This window comes from Homo sapiens, chromosome 10 (genome assembly GCF_000001405.40).
Source record: "Homo sapiens chromosome 10, GRCh38.p14 Primary Assembly".
NCBI lineage: Eukaryota > Metazoa > Chordata > Mammalia > Primates > Hominidae > Homo > Homo sapiens.
In genome coordinates, this window is record NC_000010.11 from 3,230,211 (window position 1) to 3,257,691 (window position 27,481).

General features: G+C 47.1%; 2 long non-coding RNA genes across 5 annotated transcripts, besides 2 other annotated features; one reads left to right on the forward strand and one right to left on the reverse strand.

Moving 5' to 3' along the window:
- Positions 1-2,053: 2,053 nt before the first annotated feature.
- Positions 2,054-27,309, reverse strand: LINC02668 (long intergenic non-protein coding RNA 2668). Of its 3 annotated transcripts, NR_187502.1 has the most exons (4): positions 26,934-27,309; positions 26,250-26,347; positions 14,357-14,449; positions 2,054-2,372 (listed from the first exon to the last, which is right to left on the reverse strand). It is a non-coding gene; the product is annotated as a long intergenic non-protein coding RNA 2668 (long non-coding RNA). The 3 variants fall into 3 exon arrangements; NR_187504.1 differs by lacking the exon at positions 14,357-14,449; NR_187506.1 differs by lacking the exons at positions 2,054-2,372; positions 14,357-14,449 and adding an exon at positions 15,871-18,144.
- Positions 6,599-7,098: an enhancer, noted in NCBI's record as "H3K4me1 hESC enhancer chr10:3279001-3279500 (GRCh37/hg19 assembly coordinates)". NCBI's record gives its function as "activates a minimal SCP1, AML or CMV promoter by ChIP-STARR-seq in primed H9 embryonic stem cells {active_cell/tissue: H9 hESC(primed)}" and the evidence as "EXISTENCE:reporter gene assay evidence [ECO:0000049][PMID:30033119]".
- Positions 18,530-19,729: an enhancer, noted in NCBI's record as "BRD4-independent group 4 enhancer chr10:3290932-3292131 (GRCh37/hg19 assembly coordinates)". NCBI's record gives its function as "activates an origin of replication core promoter dependent on BRD2, P300/CBP, MED14 and CDK7 cofactors, and independent of BRD4, by STARR-seq in HCT116 cells {active_cell/tissue: HCT116}" and the evidence as "EXISTENCE:reporter gene assay evidence [ECO:0000049][PMID:35650434]".
- On the forward strand, positions 18,804-23,144 carry LOC105376353 (mucin-5AC-like). 2 transcript variants are annotated; one of them, NR_164118.1, is made up of 3 exons: positions 18,804-18,931; positions 19,121-19,350; positions 21,056-23,144. It is a non-coding gene; the product is annotated as a mucin-5AC-like (long non-coding RNA). The 2 variants fall into 2 exon arrangements; NR_164119.1 differs by having other exon boundaries at positions 21,433-23,144.
- Positions 27,310-27,481: the final 172 nt, after the last annotated feature.

Genomic DNA, 27,481 nt, shown 5'->3' on the forward strand with positions numbered 1-27,481 from the left:
GGGGGTGGGGGTCACAAAGCCCACGTCTGATGGAGACGTGCTGTTGGGATGATGTTGAGAAAGGGTGGGAGTGCAGAGAAGCCCCAACATAGTAGGCACCTGCAAGGGGCATTATTTAAGATTCCAGGGTCAACTTGGTGACAGCCCCATTTGGATTTGCACCTGTGCTGCCTCTGAGCTCTGTCTTCTCCTCTGCAGATAGAGTAACCAGGGCACCTGTTGATTGGGGGCCTCACCAGCAGGAGCTCCTGGCAGCGGCTGCAGGGTGTAGCAGCACAGGACAGACGCTGGAGGTGCAGGCGCAGAGGTCCTGGGGTAGGTCCTGTGGATCACACAGCACTTACAGAATATTCCAAAAACAAAACAAGAGAGAAGGCTGGTGATACCATGTCAAGTTAGAAACAAGAGAGAAGGCTGGTGATACCATGTCAAGTTAGAAACAAGAGAGAAGGCTGGTGATAACATGTCAAGTTAGAAACAAGAGAGAAGGCTGGTGATACCATGTCAAGCTAGAAACAAGAGAGAAGGCTGGTGATAACATGTCAAGTTAGAAACAAGAGAGAAGGCTGGTGATACCATGTCAAGCTAGAAACGAGAGAAGGCTGGTGATACCATGTCAAGTTAGAAACAAGAGAGAAGGCTGGTGGTACCATGTCAAGTTAGAAACAAGAGAGAAGGCTGGTGATACCATGTCAAGTTAGAAACAAGAGAGAAGGCTGGTGGTACCATGTCAAGTTAGAAACAAGAGAGAAGGCTGGTGATGCCATGTCAAGTTAGAAAAAAAAATATAGCACAATAGGATCCAGGTTCTATTTGAAAAAAAAAGAAAAATCAAAAAACAACTTAGGAACAATATTAACAGTAACTTTTCTCTGGCTGATAAAACTCTTGAGTGCTGCTTCCTTCCTTATTCATTTTATATTTCCCCCATTTCATTCCATAGACACTGCAATGTTATAACCCAGGTGTGGAATGGTCATTGAGTTAAAAGACACAGCACATTTCCTGGCAGGTGCCTCCTGACCCCCTCCCTTGTGTCTTCACCTCCCTGAAAAGTGGATGTTTTTGTACAGGTTGTGCATATCGGCGGCTCTGTGGCCAATCCAGTACTATCCTATCACGTGCTGGGGACACGATGTGGTCAGACGTATCGTCGTTCTCATGGTCTCAAGTTCACATTGTCTCTCACACAGGTACTTGGATCTGCTATAGACGGCCACGGGCCTCCTGGATTTGGTATACAGGGGTCCAGACACCTTGGATTTGATATAGAGGGTTTTGGGCCTCCTGGATTTGGTAAAGAAGGATTCAGAGTGCCTGGATTTGGTATAGAAGGATTCAGGGCTCCTGAGTTTGGTATAGAGGAGGCATGGCTCCTGGATTTGGTATAGAGGGATTCAGGGCTCCTGGATTTGGTATAGAGGATTCAGGGCTCCTGGGTTTGGTATAGAGGGATTCAGGGTTCCTGGATTTGGTATAGAGGGATTCAGGGTTCCTGGATTTGGTATAGAGGGATTCAGGGCTCCTGGGTTTGGTATAGAGGGATTCAGGGCTCCTGGGTTTGATAGAGGATTCAGGGCTCCTGGATTTGGTATGCAGGGATTCAGGGCTCCTGGATTTGGTATAGAGGATTCAGGGCTCCTGGATTTTGTGTAGAGGGATTCAGGGCTCCTGGATTTCGTATAGAGGGATTCAGGGCTCCTGGATTTGGTGTAGAGGGATTCAGGGCTCCTGGGTTTGGTATAGAGGATGCAGCGCTCCTGGATTTGGTATCAAATTTCCTGGATTTGGTATCAAATTTCCTGTCTCTTAGACTCTCTTTTTCTTTTTCCATTCTTCCAGCTTGCCTGGCTGCCTCTTCCCTGTATCTTACTCCAACAGGGGTCAGTGCTGGCCATGGTTATGTGGAGAGTTTCAAAAGCAGACATTGTCTCACAGATGACCTCTCTTTCTTACCCTAGAAGGACTCCGTGTAACATGAGGCATTCCTTTTAACATGTGGCATTCCTTTTAACACATGTTGAGGTGGTCAAAGAATACTTTTTGAAATAACTCATTTAATACAATATTTTATTTGGCAGACGCATGTTGATATTTCTCCTAGGAAACAAAAATGTGGACATAGGTTATTATTTCTCACTGTGGTTTTTAGCAGGCATAAGAATTGGGCATCTCAGAATAGAATGGAATACAGGAGCTTGATGAAATTTTAGAGACGGTCTAGCTCAGATGCTCTGCAGGAGACGAAACTGAGACCCAGAGAGCTGGGGTCGCACGTCCAGTCCTCGTGGTGCCCACGGAGGCCCAGAGTGTGGGAATCCTCCTGCAGCAATTCCGGCTCGTGGTCTAGTGATGTTCCCATCTCCCAGCTCCTACGGGAGGAAGTAAAATGAGGTGTTCATGAATTTCCCTTTTCTCCTGTGAATATGCTCTCAGGCTACAAGATTCTCTTGGTTTTCTAAAGGTTATGTTGATAAGTGTCTCTTTTTCAACATTTTAATTTGCATGTATATATGTGTATATATATGAATCTTAATCCATGGCTAGGCTCCTAAAGACAGCAGTTTTCTGTCAACAATATTTAAATAAACTCAAGCAGCTTCTACTCTCCCTCTATATGACAGAAATGCATTAAAAATCTTTGTATTATGGCATTTTGCATTCATATATTCAGTAGCAATAACAATTTTCCTTCACAGACACAGAAGGTTTATGCTTTCTCTACCAAAATTTTCAGACTTTGCCGGGTAGGACTTCATAATCATAATGATAAAACAATCTCCCTGCTGTAGTCCATGGCACAAATCCTCCTGGAGACAGTTTGTGAGCCTTGAGGAGGGACTCTCATTCCAACAAATAGTGACAATTTTTGCTAAATAAAATATTGCCTTTATTTCATTGAGCTGGGAATGCCCTAAGCATGAGATGTTGCTGTCTTTCCTCATCAGGCACCTGGAGCCCCACTGATGGCTGTCTGTGTGCCTTTCTGTGGCCCAGTGACGACTGGCCCTTAGGGTTGGGGCCCAATGGTTTTCCTCCCATGGGCTCACCACAGTGTCAGGCAGCTGAGGACTTTGCTAACATGTCCTGTCCTCGTTCACAGAGTCCTTGGCTCCGTCATTGTGTCTGTCTAGGACGTGCATGGATGGCTTAGGAAGAGAAGGCAGACAATGGACAGAACCAGACAAGGGGCCAAGCACAGGGCTGGAAAGTCACTCAGACAGATGAGCCTGTACCTGGGTCTCCTGATGTGTGTGCTGGAGGGTCTGGGAACCGAGGCTGACATGCCTGGTGTCAGGTTAATTTCCTTCTGTGTTTAATATCCTACCCCAAAATACATCTTTCAAGACTTTATTATTATTATCATTCTAGGACTTTTGTTGATGGGACATCTCTGTATGATCTTATGTGGCTCATTAAGGGATTCCTATTTATGACTTTAGCCACAGGGCAGGGGTATCACCTTCCTTTTCATTCTCTGATTACTCACTCACCCACTGAGAACTGCTGTGATTACATCCGGTGCCCCATAGGAGGTCAGGGCCACAGTTAAGGGATGGGGGAAGTAAAGTCAGGGGAAGAGGAAAAAGACGGATCCGTAAGACATGGGACGTGGCATAGAATTGTTTAGGAAATCCCAGTCTTCCTGAAAACTTAGGTTGTTTTTAATGACACATTTATTGGAGACAAGCCGAGTGAACTGAAGGAACCTCTTTTCTTCTGCCTCCATTTTTTTTTTTTTTTTTTGAGATGGAGTCTTGCTCTGTCTCCAGGCTGGAGCACAGTGGTGCGATCTCGGCTCACTGCAACCACCAACTCCCTGGTTCAAGCGATTCTCCTGCCTCAGCCCCCAGAGTAGCTGGGATTACAGGCACCTGCCACCACGCCTGGCTAATTTCTGTATTTTTAGTAGAGACTAGGTTTCATCATGTTGGCCAGGCTGGTCTCAAACTCCTGACCTTGTGATCTACCTGCCTTGGCCTCCCAAAGTGCTGGGATTACAGCTGTGATCTTCCTCCAATTTTTGTGGCTACTGCACAAATATGGATTTAGATGACAAATATCATGTATTAAAAAATCATGAGACTTGGTCCTTCCAGGAGTTTAAAAAGATGCCGTTTTGAATAAGACTCGAAGGCACAGCTGGGGGTTGAGATGAGGTCACCATGCTGTTGCCAAAGTGATGTCTGAAGTTTTAAAACGGCACATCAGTGATGGAGCTGCCAGACTTAGCAAATAAAAATACAGGTTACCCAGTTAAATGTGAATCTCAGATAAATCACACATGATTTTTTTTGTGCTATAAGTATATCCCATGCAATATTTGGGATATACTTATACTAAAATATTATTTATTATTTATCTAAAATTCAATGTAACTGGGCTCTTGGCAATCCTACCGATGACTATTTTATATAAGCAGAAACACAAACCATGAAACGTGTTTAGAGTAACGTCTTACCCAGAGCCAGGTCGTCTGAGCCCCAGTCCCTAGGAGGTGCCTCTGCTCTGTCGCTCTTCACCGGCAGGTCACCCCTGGACCCGTTGGCTTTGCTGGCTTAGGGGTGGGGTGTGTGTGGGTCAGGAGGCAGGAGGCTGGAGTATGAAAAGGAGGAAGCCGAAGGTATTAAGCGGAAGGGAAAGGAGAACAGGACCGGGATCTTTTGCATCCCGTCTGGATGATCACGCTTGGGGGATTGATTCATGGATGGATTGATTCATAGGATCGTTTATGTATTCAGGGGTGGTTGAGGACCAGGTTCTGTGCCGACCGTCGAGTGGTGGAAGCCGATGTTGCATAGGGAGTTACAACCCAGTGTGGGCGTCTCCTGGAGGAGGTTCAGGGGCCACTGAGCATGTTGCAGTGGTGTCACGCATGCCAGCTGGGGACCTGGCACCGAGTGGAGAACTGGTGGATGATGAGGACAGTGAGGGGCAGAGGGTGCCGCGGCTCTCCTAAAACATCCACGTGAATGCAAAGAAAATCACGCCAAGTTGGTCGGGCACGGTGGCTCACGCCCGTAATCCCAGCACTTTGGGAGGCCGAGGCAGGTGGATCACAAGGTCAGGAGTTCGAGACCATCCTGGCTAACACAGTGAAACCCCATCTCTATTAAAAATACAAAAAAATTAGCCGGACGTGGTGGCGGGCACCTGTAGTCCCAGCTACTTGGGAGGCTGAGACAGGAGAATGTCGTGAACCTGGGAGGTGGGGGTTGCAGTGAGCCAAGACCACGCCATTGCACTCCAGCCTGGGCGACAGAGTGAAAAAAAAAAAAAGAAAAAAAATCACGCCAAGTTAATATCGAGATTAGACACAATGGCCCGGTGCCGTGCTGAGCCATATTGGAGACATAGGATAAAAAAAAAATCCAGTATCAGCAATTCTGTCTTTAAAATTGTGATATTTTGTCTGTCATGGGTTTTTGTACTAACTTTGGTTTTTAAAAACATATTGCATTAAAATGTAGTTGGCCTTTACCTTCATGACTGAGATTTTGTGGCCAGGGAGGCGGCTTGCTGGCCTCCCCACACTCGAGCTCCTGTGTGAATAGAGTCTGTGGGTTGTCTTTGGGGTTCGCCTGACTCCCCAGACACTCTCCTGCTTCTCCATCTCTCAATGGTGGCAGCAGCAGGCTCTGAGGTAGATGCAGACGCCAGAGGTTTTATTTGCACAGGGCCAGGGACACGGCAGATAGGAAGTGAGCAGAAGTCTCGTGGCCTCTTTATATATGATATTTATCATCTAAATCCATATCTGCACGGTAGCAACAAAAATTTGGGGAAGGGGAAAAGAAGTTTCTTCAGTTAATTTGACTTGTCCCTAAGAAGGGAGTCATCAAAAGACAATATATATTTTCAGGAAGATGGCAGTTTCCTAAACAATCCCGTGCCACGTCCTGTGTCTAATGGATCCGTCTTTTTCCTCTTTCCCTGACTTCACCTCCCCGTCCCTTCACTGTGGGCCCCACGTCCTGTGAGCACGGGGTGGGCTCAGCACAGTTCTCGGTGGGTGAGTGAGTGATCGGAGAATGAAAAGGAACGCGATATCCCTGTCCTGCGGCTTAAGTGGTGAATGGGAATCCCTTAATGGGCCATAGAAGATCGTAAACGGATGCCCCATTTGTGACTCATAACTCCTCTAAATCCACCACTAGATGAGAGGCACAGAGCCTCGTCCTCCACAGCCGTGTGATGAAAGAATGAATGATCCCATGAGACCCTATAGCTTTGGACTGTCCCCATTCCAAGACTATCAAAAGTTTTAGAACAATCAACTCATTCATTCATTTGTTCAACAATTATTTGCTGGTTCCTGGCATTGGCGGGTTCCAATCTGGCTCTGGGACCATCTCCTCCTTCCTGACCCCATCACTTTCCCTTCCAGAGGCAGAGGCCGTTCTCCGTCCCCTTCCTTTGTCCTGGTATTATCCCAGCCAGGGCACTCGGGCCCTGTTTCTTCCTTCCTTCCCTTCCAGGCCTTGGCTGGCGGAGCAGGAGAGCAACAGGCCTTTGGCAATGGCAGGTTGACCTGCTGCTCTGCCTCGAGCGTGTGCTGGTGTCCAGGCCCAGCAAGGCCACCCTCCAGGCCTGTCACCCGGCTCCTGCGTGGGAGTTGCCTGACCAAGCTGGACGGCAGCAGGTGCAAGTCCGGCAGAGATAGGGTTATTGCATTTGCTCCCCATCAGCCCTGGCTGCAACACACTCCTGCGGTAGCAGGGTCACTCGCGTGTTCTTCAATTGTTGGCATGGATTCGGGCGCCTGGAGGTGGATGGAGTGGGGGCTACAGCTGTGCAGCCTTGGCAAAGAGGAGAGACTCAGACCCTCAAACCCACAGCCACCCTTTGTTCAAAGTGGGGAGAAGAAAACACAAGGACTTGAGTGTTGATTTGGGGTTGGATTTTCCAAGAAGGAGTCAGGTTCATTCCAAGTGAAGAATTTAAAAAGGGGCTGGAAGAGGGCTTTCTCCCTCTGGAGATAGGGAAAAACATGTTCTCTGATTCAAAGGGCAGCGCTGCTGTGCACAGCTCATGCATTATTCATGAGCCATCCCACTTCTAGGTCTGACGGACAGTTATTTATAGCATATCATCCTTTTCACAAAATGACACTACCCAGGCTGCAGGCTGAAGTACATTTAAGGTAAGTGTCCTGAACTGGGTGGAAATCCTATTGATGTTTCAGAATATATATAATGTGCGCTTGAAAATGACTATGTATAACTTGTATTTTTGCCCCATTTCTCCATAGTGAAACAGGTTTTCGACAGCCAGACCCAGGGGTGAGCTATGGCTACGAATGGAACGGCCTGACATCTATCTATATCTATTTTAAAGCAGCAGGAGAAACACCTCAAGCCCGTCCTGGCACTGTGGGTGGCTGTGTGATGGGAGGCTGAGGAGACTTCGTTTTCCTGTTGGTGTAGTGTCTGGATTTTCTCTGCATTTCCAGCCTATTCACAAACCAGTGATGACAAACCAGGCAGGTGCGGCCAGCCAGTGCGGGTCTGCCCAGGCCACTGGCCCCCGCCTCCTGGACATTTTAGCCGGGCGTTAGTCACTCCACTGCGCGCAGGTGCACTTCTGTGCAATGATGGCTATGGCCTCCATCCAGAGGTGGCAGAAGTCTGCGCAGAGCAGGTGACGCAGGCCTCAGAGGGGACCCAGGGACCAGGTGGGGGCAGAACCAGATCCAGCCAGCTGCGTCTCTGCCCGAGCGATAATTTTTAGGAGGGGGCATTGTGGCAACAAGTGGATTCTATGCATACAATACAGATAACGCTTTTTCAGAAAGCATTAAATAGCAACATTTTCTGGGCAGACAGCCTTCCACCAAGTAGGGAAGTCATACTCAGCTTTTAAAATGGAAAACAGCTATTGCATAATTATCATTTTAATCAGAGAATTCAGGGGAAATGGAAGAATCCAATTCACATCGATAGCCTTAGAATAGGCTAGGTCATCTCTTTCCCGGATTGTTCAATGAGACTGATTTCAAGACATGGGCCAGCCGGGCATTCCTCCCGGTACCCTGCTGCAACCTGCTCACCCTGTCTGGGTTCACTGGTGTCCTGGCAACAGCGTGGGTGCCGGGGCAGGCATCTGGAGATGGAGTCGGCAGAGAGCATGGCTCTGGGCTCCGCAGACCCGGCAGGAGCCCCGGCTGCAGAGAAGGAGATGTGGGGGAAAAAGCCTGTGCTAGTCTGGAAGTGGAGTCTGGAGCTTAGATTAGAAAGTGTGTTGACAGAAGGAATTCCCCACCGCAGTCCCGTTCCTGGCTGACAGTTCTCCCAGCAGCAGGATCTGTGGGAGCGGGACTCCAGTGCACTCGGGTCCTCGGTGTCTGTCCTTCCAGGGGTATCCAGGTCTCAGAGCACAGGTGCACACGGGTACAGTGGCTCTGTGACACAAGAGGAGGGTCACTCACAGTGGTCCCACGCACGGCGCCGACCACACAGACCCCAGAGGACACGTGGTGCTCTGGGCCTGTGACCAGCACAGCAGTTGGAGCAGGTGTGTGTCTGAGCTGGAGCTGGGCGGCCCTGCCCTGTGGCAGCGGGAATAAGAGGAGACAAGGGGCGGGCAGGTAATCACCGAGGAGCTCTTCCCAAGAACAGAGACGTTGCTGTTAGAATACAAAGCTGGTCCAGGAAGGGCACAGAGGGAATCGCGTCTCTGCTTGGCCACCCTGCCATCCCTTTGTCCCTCTCTTACACAAACATCGTCCATCCCCCCGGGTGCTTCAGACTGGACCTGGTGCCCAGGGCCCCTGACCACAAACCCTAAACACACCCGGGGCTCCTCCAGCGCCGAGTCCCCCACGCTTCCTCACCCCGCTCAACACACATCTTCAGTCTTGCACTTTTCTCTCTCTTTTTTTTTTTTTTTAAATTTTAGATGAAGGGAAAATGGTTTCACTCTATAAACCACTTCTTGTTTAGGGATATGTCAAAAACACAGTTAAAATTCATTCTCTTCTTTACAGTGAAAATTCCAGAACAGATGGAACACATCTTTTCCCACTTCAGAGCGCGAGGGGGGACGAGGAGAAGCATCCTCTGTGTCTCAGGAAGCTGCGTCATTAGTTCGGGGTCAGGATAAAGGGGAAGGATGAACGCATTTGTGTGTCAGGCTGCAGGGCACCCGCACGTGGAGAGAGTCTGCAGGCCCTCAGTCAATCACACCGATGTGAAAGCGAGGATGGAAGGGGAGGGAAATTACATTTACCTGTGTCCTGGCTGCAGCCACGATGGGTGCTGGGGAAAGTCAGGAGGACTCGGGATGAGAAAGAGGCAGTAACTCCCGGTGTGTTCTGTCTGGGGGACCCAAGAATGTCTGCACCATCACTTCTCGGTTCTCGCTGGATGTAGCGTGGGGCTCACTGGGGTCACACACCCTACGGGATTTTGAAGTTTCAAAGACCTCTGGGTTTTATTTGTCTCCTGACCTGCCCGTGTTCATCCAGGTGTTAATCTGCCACCATGCCCTGCCTTGCAGCGCAGGGAAGACCGCAAGGCCGCAGCACCCTACGCCCCGGACGACCCGCCGCACAGGTGTGAGGCCATCGCACCGCGAGGGAACGGTCACTAGGTGTCGCCGTCTTCCTCGGAATGGAAGCCACGTTTCTCCTGCACCGTTGAAATGGACTGGAACAAAATTTTCTAGACTTCAAGGAAACCATCCTTTCTAATAACAATGAGATGGTAATTAGTAGGGGAAGTGGCATAAAATTATTTCACCATTTAGTGAAACCATGATTCTAAACTACAGAAAAAACTGTCTTTTTTAAAGCTCATTCAGCCGGGTGCAAACCGCCTTGCTGGCGGGCGGCACCTGAAGGTGACCTGGCCTTGTCCCCCCCTCCATCCCCCCAGTTTCCTCTCTGTGGTGAACGTGGTTGGGGTTCACGTCTCACCCCCCATGCAGACCCCAGCAGATCCTGAGGGCAGCGTGTGGACCATGTCCGAAGGGTCCAGAGGAAGATCCCACATGTGTAGAATACAGACCCATGGCCCCTGGGAGAGTGAAGGACACGCAGATGATTGGCAGCGGCCACTTCTCACACAAGCAACCCCTCTCTGTTTTACTGATGAGAAAACAGAGGCTTAGAGCGATTGTGTAACTTTCCCACAGCCAAGTTCAAACTCAAAGTGGGTTTCAAAATTTAGGTTTGTCCGGCTCCGAGACCCGTGTTCTCTGCAGGGCACTTAGAGGACTCCTGTGCTGACCTCTCAGGCAGCCTTCTACGAAGGGACGCGGAGAATAACAGGAAGGATTTCCATTTCCTTTTTCTAGGAAAAAAACAAAAGGCAAGAGGTAGGAATTCAGAGCTAGAGTCGCTTTACAATTCGGTTCCATTGTCGAGACGGAGAGATTCCACGACCATGACAGAAAGTGAGACTATTTAGGATTTGCCAAATAGGATGTTTTCTGAACCAATCAACATAGAACGGAAATGAGTTGGGACAAATGGCAGTGCAGTGAGAGGAAAGGTGAGTCTTCCAGCAGCCCTGCCTCCCTCATCCTGGGAGGAAACGTCCGCAGAAGCCGGGCTCCCCTGTGCCTTCCCCAGCCCTGCCTCCAGGAAGCTCTCTGAGCATTTCCTACAGACCCTGCCCCATGCTCTTCTCCTGCCGGTTTTCTCCACGTGGTTTTCTCCATGTGCAGAAACGATGATTCGGGTCTGGCACAGTGGTTCATGCCTGTAATCCCAGCACTTTGGGAGGCCAAGGCAGGTGGATCACCTGAGGTCGAGAGTTCGAGACCAGCCTGACCAACATGGAGAAACCCGTCTCTACTAAAAATACAAAATTAGCCGGGCGTGGTGGTGCATGCCTGTAATCCCAGCTACTTGGGAGGCTTGAGGCAGGAGAATCGCTTGAACCCGGGAGGCAGAGGTTGTGGTGAGCTGAGATGGCACCACTGCACTCCAGCCTGAATAACAAGAGAGAAACTCTGTCTCAAGAAAAAAAAGATGATTCGGAGCTGCCTGGAACATGGAACAGCCCAGCGAGTCGCTGGCTGCAGTTCTCAGACCCAGGCTCTGCCGATCTCATCCCAGGCTGGAAGAGTTGCCACCAAGGCGTGTGGGTGCCATTTGCTGCAAAAGTTCTTATGGAGAACCATGACACATAACCGTGCCAGCTTCTCATGCCGGGAGACCGCAGCGCCTCTCCACACAAGTGGGGCCTTCCTTCTGCACTTTTATTCTGCAGTTGGGCTCCCGCTCCAGGGGGCTCCGTGTTTCTAAGAACCACAGCCCAGCATCATTAAAGAAGGCATTATTTTGTGTTTAGTAGAGCACTAAATTGGTGAAATATAGTTGTGATTCTGGTAGTGAATATCCCTGTTGCCACGGTAACGATATTATGTCATGGGAGGCTGTCTCGAGTGCTCCTGGGAGCAGCCAGGTCTCCGTGAGCTCCTGTTTACTCTAAAGACTCCGGCAGCCCACATGTGTGCACGCTGAATAAAATCGTGCTGCGGGACCACAGTGCGGGGAGGCACCGACTCTGTCATTCTGTCAACGCACCGCACAGTCACGAACATCAGCATTGACATGAAATGGACGGTTAGGGAGCTGCAAAGGACTCATGCTCCTCTATTGCACGAATTTGTCTTTTCATATTCAAAGTACTTGTAAGAGCTCCAAGTTCCACGTACTCAGCCACTAACCTCAGGCATCTGCACGGGAGACTTGGTACACAGGCTCACATGCATGCACGCACACAGGCACACGTACAAGCGCCCGTGTACACACAACAGTGTACACATGCGACACACATTCACACACATGTGCAGATGCACACACACAGATCAGTGTGAGGAAGAGTCAGGGGTTCATGGAACAGCCCCTGCTCTGCAAGCCATGTCTGGCCGTGTAGGGGAAAGAGACAAAACAACACGCTGGTTACCTTGGAAGAGGAAAGAAAGGGAGAGACCTGCAGGTGTTGGGCGCGACACAACCCAGAGCCACCCTCGTCAAGGGACCCTCTCCCTGCTCGATGCATTCCTCCCACCCGACATTCAGTGAACACAGGGAGGCTTAGTGTGAAGGACACCTGCAGTGTGTGTGTCTGTGTGTGTGAATGTGTGTGTGTCTGTGCACATGTGTGGTGTGTCTGTGTAAGTGTATGTGGTGTGTCACTGTGTGTTCTATGTGTGGTGTGTGTTTATGTGTCTGTGTAATGTGCATGTGTACTGTGTGTGTGGTGTGTCTCTGTGTGTGTGTCTTCGTAGTATATGTATGTGTTGTGTGTTTGTGCATGGTGTGTATGTGTCTGTGTGGTGTGTGTGTGTCTGTGTGTATGTGTCTCTGTGAATGGGTGTGTGTGCATATGTGGTATGTGTGGTGTGTGCAGCAGTGTGTGTGTGTGCACGCATATACACTGTGTGTGGTATGTGTGGTATGAGTGTGTGTGTGAAATGTGTGTGTCTGTGTGGTGTGTGATTGTGTGTGTCTGTGTGAATGTGTGTGTGCATATGTGGTGTGTGTGGTGTGTGAGTCTGTGTGTGTGTGGGGTGTGTATGTGTGGTTTGTGTGTTGTGTATGAGATGGAGAGAGGCAGGCCAAGGCGGGGAGATCGAGGAGGAGGAGGGGCTGGTGGGTCGGTGCTGCCAGCACGATGCTAGGAGTGACCCGGGCGTGTGGGAGGGGTCCTTTGCCACCTGGACCCCATCGCATGCCCTGAATCTCATTTTTGAACCCAAAGCTCAGAACGCTTCCTGGCTGTCTGCCCATCAGTTTCAGCCTTACCCTGAGCAGAAAGAGCTGCCGGGGTGGGGGGTGGGGGCGGGGGGGTTCTGCATTCTAATGGGGCGGGTTCTGCATTCTAATGGGGCGGGTTCTGCATTCTAATGGAGTGGGTACGGGTGACTTCAACAGTGAGTCTCAAGTTATTGTCTCTCTGGGAAAACACGCCCCCGTGACCTTCCCACCAGCACTGGGCACTCCAGGGGGTTTTGGGACAGGGCTTTCTGCAGGGTCTTGAGCAGCTGGCATCTCACCGACAGGTGTCTTCTGGAAACCTTCCGTGAAGACCTTCCCCTGAGGAAGCCAAGTCACCTGAGCTTTCTTCCTCATCGCTAAGTATAAACATCAGTGAAAAATAAGTGAATGTGGTAAGCTTTAAAACGGCAAACAAATGAGCCAGGCGTGCTGGCGCTCCTGTAATCCCAGCTGCTCAGGAGGCTGAGGCGGGGGAATCACTTGAACCTGGGAGGCAGAGGTTGCAGTGAGATCGCACCACTGTACTCCAGCCTGGCGACAGAGTGAGACTCCGTCTCAAAAAATAATAACAATAAATAGCAAACAGCAGAGAGCATCATCTTAAGGTTTTGAAAATACATACGTATTACTATTATGTTTAATACAGTCATACTAGGAGCACAGGTTAAATACTTCTGTGACTTCACAGGTATTCCCTGTCTCCCCTCCCAATGCCATTATGTGAACCAATAAAAGTGCAAATGGTTTCATCCCTGGTGGCCCCAGAGTCTCAAGAAGCTGAAAAAATTCCTAAGTTGCCTACAGGTTACAGTGATTGACGGAGAGAATGGGCATCTTTTAAAGTTAGTAAGCTAAGAAGGAAATATATGAAAATGAAAGTTAGGAAATGAGATAATTTCTTAAGGTCATAGAGTACACCTGGGCCCACTGATAATATTTTGAATGAAAACGGAAACGTACATCCCAATTATCGATGTTTTTGTACACACAATGCCAAACATCTTGATACTTAGACCCATAACACTTTAGCTTCAATGGCTTACGTTTCCCTGGCATGATGGGTGCCAGCCATGGGTCCGTCCCGAAACATGCTCCAGATCTGATGCTGAATGGCACTTTGGGCCCGGGCCACACCCCACCTTGTGTGGATTAAATGTGCTATCCCTTGTTGTTGGTTGTGCAAATTTTCACACTTTTTCATGCGAGACAGCTTTTGGAGTAGGATAAGTTCTGGCCTTTGAAAACGTACAATATCCTTTCTCACAGGTAAAAGCCAGAGGGTGCCCTGAAGCCCCTCTCAGGTTGTAAGGTTGTGGCATCCCCCTTTGGCGAATGAGGGGATCCCAGCCCAAGAAGGAGGGATTCCCAGGAGATCACACAGCTCCTCACCACCCCGCTCTCCTATTTCCTAAGTGTGGTGTGCTGAGGAGTCCACAAAGCTGCCTTGGGGATTTAACAAAAGCCTCTTCAAATAACACACAGGACAGGGCTCCCGGGTTAATCATCTTTCTTTGTCTAAGAAAGAAAGATCTTCCTAGGTTTTATATTCACACATATTTGTTGTGACTTCCTTTTGTGTCCATCAATCAAAGCTGTTCCCTCTCTTGGTTTTGGGTATGTCATTACCTGCAGGGCACTCGGTGGAGGTGAGGTGGTCATTGGCTTCTGTCCTGTTCTTCAGTGGTTTTTACTTAGCGATTACCGGCAATTTCACCATTACTGCAGGGCACAAATTTGTTTATTTTAGCACATTTTCTTCATAGCCTTAATCTGCTGTCAAGTCAATAATGTGCTCCCCAACTTCCATGATAAAATCTTCCCCCAAAAGAATCCCGATGGAGTGCTGGTCTCTAAGGACGTAGAGACACCAGAATGTTTTCTAAACCTTTTTGTCTTGTGTGCTGATGCTCAGAACATGGTCATTCGCAATCACTGAGCTTTGCAAAGCTTTTGCACGAGCTGACCTAATTCTTATCCCTGCTCCTTTGAAGAAGACGGACTTTTAGCTTTGGTAGTGTTGGGTGCTACAGAGCCAGCCTCAGATGTACCAGGTGTTATAGAGCCAGCCTCGGATATACCAGGTGTTCCCATGTTCAACTGGAATGGGTGCTGAAAACCTGTTTATAAACGTGTTCCCCTCCTTGTTTCAGGGGACAGGTGTTCCCATGGGTTGACTGGCTCCTTCAAACCCCAACATTCAGTCTTTAAAGGCACTGTCTATGCCTAAATGCCTTACTCACTAGTAGCAGCCCACTGGGTGATGGGGCTATGCTCCTCCCTCCTCCCGTGGGCATTGGGACTGGGATTCTTAGATTGGAGCAGGGAATTTCTCATCAGTCACTGTGTAATGTGAAAACCAAGGGAAAGCCCAGCGCCTCCCAAACCCTGGAGCCCCAAGTCATGTGAGGAAGCTGAGATCTAATCAGAAGGCACTGGCGAGATTGTGTTAGACAGATGGGGTCACCCAACGTACAGGGTGGCCAAGGCAATGATCAAGGCCAAGGAGAAGGGAGGGACTAAATACCGCAGCACCAGGATTGCTGGGAGCCGGGTGTCCTTCGCCTGCCTGGAGTTGATGCTTGAATGGGGGAAGCTGGGGCCTGGCCCCAGGGATGGCGAGTGTGAGAGGGTCAGCCCCAACATGAGAACCGCGGAGCCTCAAGAGAGGAACTTGGGACATCAGCAAGCCCCGTGCAGCGTGGGTGAGCAGCTTTCTGATTTGCTGGGGCCCTTCTTGTTGCCATGAACAGGAGTCCAGGAGTGACTGCATATGGTGTCCCAAGGAGCCTGGTAAATAAATGTGCGCTGGCTTCCTGGGAGTGAGTTATGAGGAAACGCTAAGGGCAAGAGGAGAAGATGGCTGGACATCCACAGCCCCTTGGTCCCGGGCTCTGACAGCTCCTCAGCATAATGAGTGGAAATGAAGGGCCTGGCCAAGCGAATTGGCCGATTGGCTTTCTTCTATTCTCATTGCTAAATTAATATTGCCGTTAATGTTTGCCAATATTTCAACCTCGGTGGACTGGCATCTAACAGTCTTGAGCTTGCAGAGGCCATTTCTGTGCTGGAGTTTTGGTTTTCGAGGTGCATTCATTCATAAAAGCTGATGTTCCCCAGAAAGTAAGCACTGAGAGCTACTATTTCCTTGAGCATTCATTTTATTTAGGTTCTAGAAATTTACGTGATATCGGATGAAGAGATTCAAATAGTTTGTGAAGGAGTTAGGAATATACAACCCCTTCCTTTTGAAGACATTTATAAACCTATTGAACATATCCTGGAAGCTGGTCTGTGGACAGCCCAGTGCTATACACTGGGGGAGTGAGAGACAGCAAAGCCGTCTCCCTCCTCTGCTGGAGGTTTTACCCTCAGAGGAGAGGCTCACATATTAAAGCCCTAAGACAAGAGAAATTAGGAGTGGCAATGTAATACTGTAAAGTACAATCAGAGCATGATGGAAATAGATAATAGCTTCGTTATTTTTAATGAATGCATTGACTTAAGAATATACAAAGTTTCCTGTGTGACCAGCTGAGTCTCCATGCACAGAGAACAAACCCTAAACAACACCAGTACTTCGTGAGCAGTTGCAGGGATATTCTTTAATGCTCCTCTAACTCACTTAATCTTGATTTGACCTTTCAAATGTAAAAGAGAGTTTTATTGTTCATCTGGATGTCTAGTAAATTCAATAAATAAAGTTCAGAAGACCGATGCCTAGATGAGAAATAGAAGCTGATGACCTTTTTGTTTTGGCCTCAGCCATGGTGACCACACAGGACCGGGGGGTGCTTCTGGCTTTGGCCATCCCAAAGCCTTTGGGTCTGGATGAGCCCCAGGTAACCGAATGATGGACAATCGCTTTTATAAAGTGACAGTTTACTTCTGAGATCGCTGTTATTAAAATGAACACTGGATAGGGCTCTCACGAAAGCTAAAAGCCTTTGTTTGTTCTGGTCTCAGTTCTCAGGGACCTAAACATGACACTGTTCATGTCAACCTCCATGTACTTTGCCCAGTCATAGAAGATGCAAAACATAGCAAATTGTTTTTCTTTTGACTCTTGATCAAAAGGGGGAGCACAGCAGTCAAGAGTTTAGAAAAGTACTCTCATGTTCACACCTGTGTCCTACAGAGTTCTGCGATTTGGCAGGCAGGCTGTGTGAGTGGGCCCCTCTCCTCACTGAAAGACATTCTTGGTCCTCAAAGGTGAGGTCCATGGCTCCAGCCCTGCCTCGCCTCCCCTGGCCTCTATGTCGACTTTCCATTACGGATGGAGAACCGCTTCTGGAGTCAGAGTCTTCGCAGGCAGTAAGGCTCGTGAGAGCCTCAGTGCAAGACGAACCATCTCCATGCGCTGATGTGGTTTTTCTGAAGTAAAATAAGGACTAATTTCCAAACTTCATGCAAACAAGGCAAAGATTTGTCGATGACGGTGGCAGTGAAACTGCGGGATTGTCAACATCAGATAGGGTGGACATGGGGGCCGGGAAAAGCCACGCAGACACTAGCTGTCTCAGGACCCATGTTGTCTGGATTTTAAAGGCCTATTTTTCAGCCTTGCTTGGTTTGAAACAGTTCATTTCTACCTTGAGCCTTTCCAGGGAGTCTAGCGACCAACTGACAACCTCAATAAAGATCCATTCCTGGGTCAGTAGCAATTCAATGATGGGTTGAGCTTCTGAAGTTACCAAAGCTTTCATTTCCTGTCCCTTCCCCACATGAACTAAGTATTCCTGGTCCAGTCAAGATTACACCAGACCGTCATGTCAGGGGCCCAGGACCTTCTTGCTGGTTAATAGGCTACAGTAGCTGCAGCGTCATTCTCTTAGCAGGGTTTTTCAAATTTTGGATTAGGACCCATTTGGCTCATGAAATTAATGTACTGAGCCTCTACAAGCAAGCACTGAGGAAGAAGAAAAGAAGGAAGGAACTGGAAAAAAAAATATTTCAATGCAATGCACATAATGATGCATGGTCTCCTAAACTTTTCCGTGTGTGTGTACGGGCTCGATCATGGTGTAAAAATCTATTAAAAGGCTATCATAGCCACTACTGTACTGCAATATATTCCAAGCAACATAGACAGAGGCTCCCACATCTGGATTTTTTTTTCCTGTAAAAATAAGAAGAGGCCGGGTGTGGTGGCTCACACCTGTAATCACAGTACTTTGGGAGGCTGAGGTGGGTGGATCGCCTGAGCTCAGTAGTTCCAGACCACCCAGGGTAACATGATGAAATCCCGTCTCTACTAAAAATACAAAACAATGAACTGGGTGTGGTGGCATGCACCTGTAGTCTCAGCTACTTGGGAGGCTGAGGCAGGAAAGTCGCTTGAGCCCCAGAGGTGAAAGTTGCAGTGAGCCAAGATCGCACCACTGCACTGCAGCTTGGGCTACAGAGTGAGACTCCAACTGGAAAAAAAAAAAAAAAAGAAGAAGAAGAAGAAATTGAGTCACAGATTTTGTAAAAAAAAAAAATTAAAAATATTTATTAAGATTTATATTTATTTGAATCACCTTTTAAAATGTCAAGTGGGAAAATGAGATTTTTTTCCATCAAATACATTCCTTCCTTCCTCCCATTCCTCCCTCTCTCCCTCCCATTCTTTCTTCCTTCCTTTTCTGTATTTTAAAAAATATTTTTAATATAAGTAGTGTTTTTAGTAGTAAAACAGAGCCAACATTTGTATCCGTCCAGTAAGCATTTTCCTAGCAGGAAACATACAGGCCTGTGCTGTTTCCATTCTTAAAAAGATGGAATGAATAATACAGAGGCTAGAAGGAAGTCAGGCACGGGAGAAAGTGAATATTAGATTCAATTTCCTCTATTAGGTTTCATGCCTCTGAGCTGCTGCGTTGGTGAATGAAGACCTCTAAGCTTTTTACTGCTTTCCCTTTATGAGGTTAAATTGTATTTTTTCAGTATTTCACCCCAATCATGTGCTGTAAATCTATTCTTACTTTAAGAAAGAACTCATTCCACAATATATTTGCTTGACACAAGCCTGGGATTAGGGCAGTTTGCAAAGATTTGTTCTCCCTGATTTTTTTTTTTTTCCCTGTGAGTAAGTAACAATCTGGAGAGTAGTTAATGGAGTCGGTGACTCAGCTCACTTTGCTGTGGTTTCTGCTCTGTCATCAGCATGGATGTCTGGTCATTTTCGTAGAAACCAAGGAGAGTCCTGGAAGAAATGATGAGGTAGGTGTGGTCCTCCATCTCCGAGATGCTCCAGCCCAAATTTCAGTTTAAGATTATTGTGCTTTCACAGTTGCTCAGATAAAACAGTTTTCACTTCCCACAGACTCAGTGTTTAAAAATTAAGCTTCAGCAAGAGGAATGTTTTCTTACACAATTCTCTAATTCAACTTGTTTTCTCTCTCTGTATAGAAAAACCCTGGAGCAAAATACTTTACCAAAAAAGGACAAAATAAGGCTTGTGACTGCAATTTAAAAATTGTTAAAGGACACCGTTTCATAGGGAATAAATGAGAAGTGGGTAATGACTGTTTATTTGAATGATTCAATGCAAATTCCCTGGAACAGTAAATCTGGCCCAGTTTGTTTAAAGTAGAACATGTTTGACCTGAAACTTCTCGGAAATACAAATATTTTGTAAGGTGAGATCTGATTTAATAGATTTCTCTTTCATTACTTTTATTCATATAAAAACCAGAGAGTATTGTGACATTCAAAAATCAAGTAATTTGATATTAAAACCACAGCAATATAAATGACAAAAACAAGCCGTTCTGAGAGGCAAAGCAGCACTTGGTTTCCTAAGCCTGTAAAACTACTTGCGTTCGCTGGCTAGATTGAATTTTCTAAAACTACACAGTGATGTTTAGTTACTAGTTAAATGGTTTTTATAGAAATCTAGTTAGAAAGTGCAATTGAGTTGTGTCTCTTCATTGCTATTTTCAGTTAAGAGCTTCTTCCAAGGGCCAGTCTGCACCAGGTGTAAGTATTGGAGCTAGTAGGGTGATCGATAGCAATTGAATGATTAGTTGAGCCTCTGAAGTTACTCAAGCAACTATTTTAACGTTACAGATTTAAGAACATTTCTTGCTGCAAACGTTTGATCACAGGAGTCCATAGCTGAATAGGTGTGAGGCTAGGAGTCTTTTGGATATAGTAACCTTACTGTCAAACATGTTTTGCTATATATATAGTTACACATGGAACATAGCCATGTATAAAATGAATATTTGGTCCTCACAGTGAAGAGGAAAGTGCAGTCATGCTTTGTGACTTAGACACCTTATTGTCATCATCATCATTTTTGCAAAGGGCTTTTATCCCACCTTTGGCTGGAGCCTGGTGTGCCCCCCAGGGTGATGGGCTTGTCCACAAATCTCTGGTCTTACTCATTTTCCTCTCGTGGCTAAAGGCTCAAACATCACACACGGAGGCAACAGACACAAGGAAGACAGTATCGACCAGCATTTGTGAACATATGTGTCTAAGAAATAATAATCACAGAGCTTCGTGTTAAGTCCATACTTTCCGCAGAGCTGCAAAATTTACTAAGTGTTTTTGCCTTATTTGATTCTCACAAAAATCCTATGAGAAGAGCAGGCAGACACCCCCGTTTATAAATGAGGAAATGAGCTGGACACAGTGGCTCACTCCTGTGATCCCAGCACTTTGGGAGGCCGAGGCAGGTGGATCACCTGAGGTCAGGAGTTTGAGACCAGCCTGGCCAACATGGCAAAACCCTATCTCTACTAAAAATACAAAAGTTAGCTGGACGTGGTGGCACGTGCCTGTAGTTCCAGCTACTTGGGAGGCTGAGGCAGGAGAATCAGTTGAACCCAGGAGGCGGAGATTGCAGTGAGCCGAGATTGTGCTACTGCACTCCAGCCTGGGTGACGAGAGCGAAAACTCCGTCTCAAAAAACAAATAATAATAATAATAATAAATGAGGAAACAGTTGCTCAGCACTGTTGGGGCATGGCCAAGAGCACACAGAGATGGAGCTGGGCTTGTTTGGAGGTTTCTGGTGATAAGTCCCAGCTCTTGTACCACCCCATCCCTACAGGACTCCCAGGTTTTCTGAACGGTATAAATGATCTCACAGTCAGGAAGCAGGACACCATAGCTCACCTGAGCAACCGGAGGGCAGGCAAGCAGTTAGCCAGTTTGCTGTCACTCTCTTAGCCCTCTGGTTCTGGCCTTTGTGAGTGAATGTGAATAGGAAGAACATGAAAGGAAAATAATCCTAATATCCCATAGTAGTTCCCCATCCAAGCACCCTTTCTCTTCAAACCTCCTAAAGCTTCGACAACCACCTGGTGCTCATGATCTCCTCTCTCATCTCCTCAGAAGACACGGTTCTTGGGTCTTCTCTCTCTTATTCTTCAGAATGAGTCTTCCCTCCAGAAACTCCTCTGAGATTTGGCTGTGGTCTCCCACGCCCTGTCAGGCAGCGACTGCAGGCTTCTGTGGTTCTCGTTTCCAAACCTCAAACCATGAGAGACATGGAGGCTCTTCGAAATGATGGTGACACTGCTCTCCTGGGGAGGGCTGGACATGGATCGTCCTTTCCCAGCTCCGCTTAATCTGAAGCAGGAGGATCTGGCTGAGAGCTGGGATGAACTTCAATCTGGTTCTGCCGGATACAAAATCGACTGAGAAATGATGCCACCAACCAAAATGGTTTCTGAAGTTTGGGAATGTAAACATTTTTTTCCTTCTTTTAGAGATTTTCAGATAATGGAGTCTGGTCCCTCTGTCCATGGGCCATCAGCACCTGCAGTTCACACCACACTTTCCAGGGAAGAAGGCATCTACAGCACACCACCCACTGCAGGAACAGTGCAGATTCCCACATCTACAGCACAGCACCCACTGCAGGAACAGCACAGTTTCCCACATCTACAGTGCAGCACCCACTGCAGGAAGAGCGCAGATTCCCACATCTACAGTGCAGCACCCACTGCAGGAACAGCGCAGATTCCCACATCTACAGCTCAGCACCCACTGCAGGAAGAGCGCAGATTCCCACATCTACAGAACAGCACACACTGCAGGAACAGTGCAGATTCCCACATCTACAGCTCAGCACCCACTGCAGGAACAGCGCAGATTCCCTCATCTACAGCACGGCACCCACTGCAGGAACAGCACAGATTCCCACATCTACAGTACGGCACCCACTGCAGGAACAGCGCAGATTCCCACATCTACAGCACAGCACCCACTGCAGGAACAGCACAGATTCCCACATCTACAGTACGGCACCCACTGCAGGAACAGTGCAGATTCCCACATCTACAGTACGGCACCCACTGCAGGAACAGCGCAGATTCCCTCATCTACAGCACAGCACCCACTGAGGGACAGTGCAGATTCCCACATCTACAGCACAGCACCCACTGCAGGAACAGCACAGATTCCCACATCTACAGTACGGCACCCACTGCAGGAACAGTACAGATTCCCACATCTACAGTACGGCACCCACTGCAGGAACAGCGCAGATTCCCTCATCTACAGCACAGCACCCACTGAGGGACAGTGCAGATTCCCACATCTACAGCACAGCACCCACTGCAGGAACAGCACAGATTCCCACATCTACAGTACGGCACCCACTGCAGGAACAGTGCAGATTCCCACATCTACAGTACGGCACCCACTGCAGGAACAGCGCAGATTCCCTCATCTACAGCACAGCACCCACTGAGGGACAGTGCAGATTCCCACATCTACAGTGCAGCACCCACTGCAGGAACAGTGCAGATTCCCACATCTACAGCACAGCACACACTGCAGGAACAGTGCAGTTTCCCTTGCGTCGCCCAGCATATGCAATCCCCACTGCACGGAAGTCACCTGCACAACGCTGGAGTTGCCAACGGTTTGTGTTTCTAAGTTCCACTTGGGAGTTAGATCTCATCTTTAATAATAATAGTTAAATCCTTGTTTCGTTCAAGTTTAAATGTGTATAAACTCTGAAATTCTATTTTTACAGATAGCTACAAAAGCTCACAAAATATATCACTTCAAATCCCTACATGTTATGTCTCCTGGGCATACAAACTACATTGATGGTAATGAACTACCAGAGTTTAAATCTTATGTTTCTTCTAAATAATGAACTCCTGTTTGTCAACCTGTATTTTCACTTTTTTCTATACTCCTGTGCAGTGTATTTAAAGAAAGAAATATGGAAAATAGTGAAAGACATAGAAAAGAGTGGTCTATCACCAACCTTCCCCCTTCCTCTCTTGTATATTGGAAATCTCCATCTATGTAGCCCAATTACATCTCTTCATTAGTCTGATTTGGTGTTACTCACTTTTAAAATATAGTTGTTTGCAAAGTCTGAAAATTATCTTGAAAAATGCAAATTTTTTAATGTGTACAATTCTATTTGTGCTAAATAAATTTAGACCTTTCTTATATTCAACATTATTGTTGGAATTCTGTCCTCAAAATCTTCCTTCAAAAACAGTTTTTCTGTGCATTTCCACTGAAAGTACCCTCACCGCTCCTCAGGCTGAGCTCAGTCATTCTGCACTTGGAAATCTTAGCCGATAGATTAAGAGAGGTTTAACCAAAATGTACATATGACTGAACAAATTTTCCCATCACAGTAAGAATGTTTATCAACCTTTATTAAAAATAGTAGTGTCTAAAATAGTGAACCTAAGGTAATGATGCTTTTACATGCACCATGATCTTTCAGCCAAAAAATATTTTCACATGAATGACAACTTGGTTAACAATACCTGTAGTGTATTCTTTTCTTTTAAAGTTATTTTAAGGAGAGTTTGTGATCTGATTTCATATTTGTATCAGTTGATAATTTGGGAAAATCGCTTTAACATTTGGGATTCACCTGATATGGAAGACTTGTAACTTCTCATTTAAGAGTTGCTGGTCTCTTTCCTTATGAACACAACATCATGCTGTAGAGTGAGAGTGAATGGTAGGGGTAAATCCGCCCCTCCACTCATCCACCCACTCATCCAGACATCTACCCACCCATCCACCTATCCATCTATCAATCCGTCCACCCATCTACCCACCTATCCAACCATCCATCTATTCCCCCATCCGCCCCTCCACTCATCCACCCACTCATCCACACACCTACCCACCCATCTACCTATCCATCTATCAATCCATCCACTCATCTACCCACCTATCCAACCATCCACCTATTCCCCCATCCACCCCTCCACTCATCCACCCACTCATCTACACACTTACCCACCCATCCACCTATCCATCTATCAATCCATCCACCCATCTGCGCACCTATCCAACCATCCATCTATTCCCCCATCCGCCCCTCCACTCATCCACCCACTCATCCACACATCTACCCACCCATCCACCTATCCATCTATCATTCCATCCACCCACCTACCCACCTATCCAACCATCCACCTATTCCCCCATCCACCCCTCCACTCATCCACCCACTTATCCACACACCTACCCTCCCATCCACCTATCCATCTATCAATCCATCCCCCCATCTACCCACCTATCCAACCATCCACCTATTCCCCCATCCGCCCCTCCACTCACCCACCCACCCACTCATCCATCTGTTGGTCCATCATCTTCCTATCTATTAATCTACCCATGGACCAAGCTCTTCAACTTTTTTTCAACACTGCAGAGGATTTTGCTTATTTTTTCATTTAAAAATATAACCTAAAAGAGAAATAGCAGAGAAGTGCTGAAGGTTAGAGAGCTAGAATCAGAATCAAAGTCTCTGAGCACAACCAGCCCATTTTTCATCAAGTCTAATAAAATAATTTGAGTACTTCTGCTTTCCTGAAATAAACAAAAATTTGATTTTCAACAAGCTACATGTTGATAATAAAGTTCATAAATCCTCTTCCACATTAAAAGGACACAATTTGAAATGGAGACACAATGGTCAGCTCTTAGCTATCTACATACCGAAGATTTATTTCCAAGACCCGTAAAAGAGCGGCACCCTTTGGCTCTTGCAAACACAGATGTCGATCATCACTACAGCCTGCCTGCTCATTGCTGGTTACACAGAACAATCTCCTCTGCTGTTTTTAGAATCTTGAGCTACTTCTGTTATTTTTTAAAAGAGTCAACAGCTATTTTACAGTTTTGTTTTTTAGGAACAATTTTCATTATATTTTACTCTCACGAACTTTTAAAAAATGATTTTGAAATGTTCCAGTCTGCCTATGGGCTGGCATCAAGAGTCAGCAAAGTCACAGACCTCCCACACTGTGAGATCAGACTAATGCTTTGTGTAATTAGCCAAGGGATACAAAATATTTACAAAAGAGACCTGACTTTGCAGACAGGCCCAGGTGCAGTCTACTTCCATCCAGCTTCTGGTGGTCACGAAATTTAGAGCAGAGACATGCAAAATTGCTGTTTCCCTCATCTGTGAGAGGCGGGGCCCAGCCAAATCTGAGCTCAATGTTTGTGGCAAAAATGACCGGGGGCCAGGAGCAGTGGCTCTAGCCTGTAATCCCAGCACTTTGGGAGGCCAAGGCGGGTGGATCACCTGAGGTCAGGAGTTCACGACCAGCCTGACCAACACAGTAAAACCCCATCTCTACTAAAAATACTAAAATTAGCTGGGCATGATGATGGGCACCTGTAGTCCCAGCTACTCAGGAGGCTGAGGCAGGAGAATCACTTGAACCAGGGAGGCAGAGGTTGCAGTGAGTTGAGATAGCGCCACTGCACTCCAGCCCGGGTGACAGAGTAAGACCCTGTCTCAAAAAAAAAAAAAAATCTCTAGATGTGCAGACCTTACTGAACCATTCAGGAAACAAATACACAATGCATTTGCTTGTATTTAGAGGAAAGCTTATAAACATAATGTTTTCTGTTTTCTTAAGCTGAGACTTGGGTAGGAACACAGTGGGAGGGAGCTGAGTCCACAGCCAGGAGAGCCTGAATCTACTGCTTGCGGCTTTCCAGAGTCCCAGGGAACTGTTTCCTCCAACTTAGCCTCTGGCTTCGAGTTGATGCCCTTTTCAATGAGGTATCCTGAGGAGCAAACCCATTCCTTCAACCTGAAGTGCCTCTCCTTGCTACTAAAATAGACTCAAGTAGATTGCAGTTTATAGCATTTTGTAGGTCTTATTTTAAAGCCCAGTTGACAATGGTTTTAGGAATTAAAACAGATGTGACTGTAGAATTTTGATCCTAAGCATCTACTGTTGGTCCTCCCAGTCTGATACAGCTCTGTCTGTAGACAGTCATCCCGGGTCTAGCCCTCACTTTGAATGACTTGGTTTTATAGATTAGTCCACAGTCTCAGATTTAATTAAGCATACATTTCAAATGAATAGACATACATTTAATGTACACACATACATGCCTTTAATGTTCAGATTTGGACCGGGTGTGGTGGCTCACACCTGTAATCTCAGCACTTTGGGAGGCCAAGGTGGGCAGATTGCTTGAGTCCAGGAGTTTGAGACCAACCAAGGCAATGTAGCAAAAACCCTGTCTCTACTAAAACTACAAAAAAGTAGCTGGGCATTGTGGCACATACCTGTAATCCCAGTTAATCAGGAAGCTGAGGTGGGAGAATCACCTGAGCCAGGGAGGTTGAGGCTGCAGTGAGCTGAGATCACACCATTGCACTCCAGCCTGGGTGAACAGAGCACAACCCCATCTCAAAAAAGGCAAAACAAAACAGAAAACACACAACCCCCCCCAAACACACAATGTTCAGATTTGGTGGAACATACATACATACAGGACATATGAGAAACCTCCAAGCTATGTGGAAATCCACACGTATACTGAGAAACTTTCAAACCAAAGAGGGCAAAGCAAGGGAGGCTGCGGCCTGTGGAGAGACCAGGCCAGGACTGCCAGGCTCCTGGGGCCTTGGAGGCACTCGGGAAGGGTGGGTTTCCTGAGCTTGCTCTCCAGAAAAGCTTTCCTCTTCCTCCCAGCCCAGGTGAAGCAAATCTCTCAAACAGGATGGCCTCAGGGTGAGCAGAGCCACTGGGCCGCAGGGGATCTTTCCTGGACTGTTGGGGGAACTGACAACCTCCTCACGGGCACGATGGGAGTCCCTTCTTTGAAAAGATCCCAGTGATTTGGTTTTTATATCTGATCTCTTTAGAAGCTCTTGCAGCAAAGACTATTTTATTAAACAAACTTTTAATGCTCTTTTCAAAGCCCAGGTTATTCCTTTAGTCTTGTGTGTGTGTAAGGAGTATCTTACCTTTCTCCTCTTCTTCATTTTCTCTTTTATTCCATACACTCTCTTTTTGCAAAGCGGTTTATATATGTCCTTATGCTTTCTGATGATTTTGGGAGGAAGATGAAAATATCCTCCATCAGAATCCAGAAGAGAAAAGGGAAGCAGAGAAGGCTCAGCTGTGGACACTCAGGTCCCCCCAGGGCTGAGGGGAGCTCTCATTCCTGGTCTTCCTCATTCCCCAATTTTTCTAGGCTTCTTGTTACCATGGTTACTCCTTGTCTGGTGGCATGAGGAGATGTCAGAGACCATTTTAGTGTCTATTTTGCCTCATTTTTTATCTTCATGAAGGATGGGTAAAGAAATACTGTCCCGAACTCAACAAAACCTTCTCAGGATCAGGGCTCCACCCTCAGACTTGGAATTCTGTGATGTTAACCCCTTCTGAGAGGTGATGAAATGTGTCCTTTTAAACTGTCTTCTGGAAAGAGATGTAGGAGGGACCGGAGAGACTATCTGCAGCAAGGCTTTTGCCAGAATAATGTTAACATTGAATGTGCACAGGAAGAGAC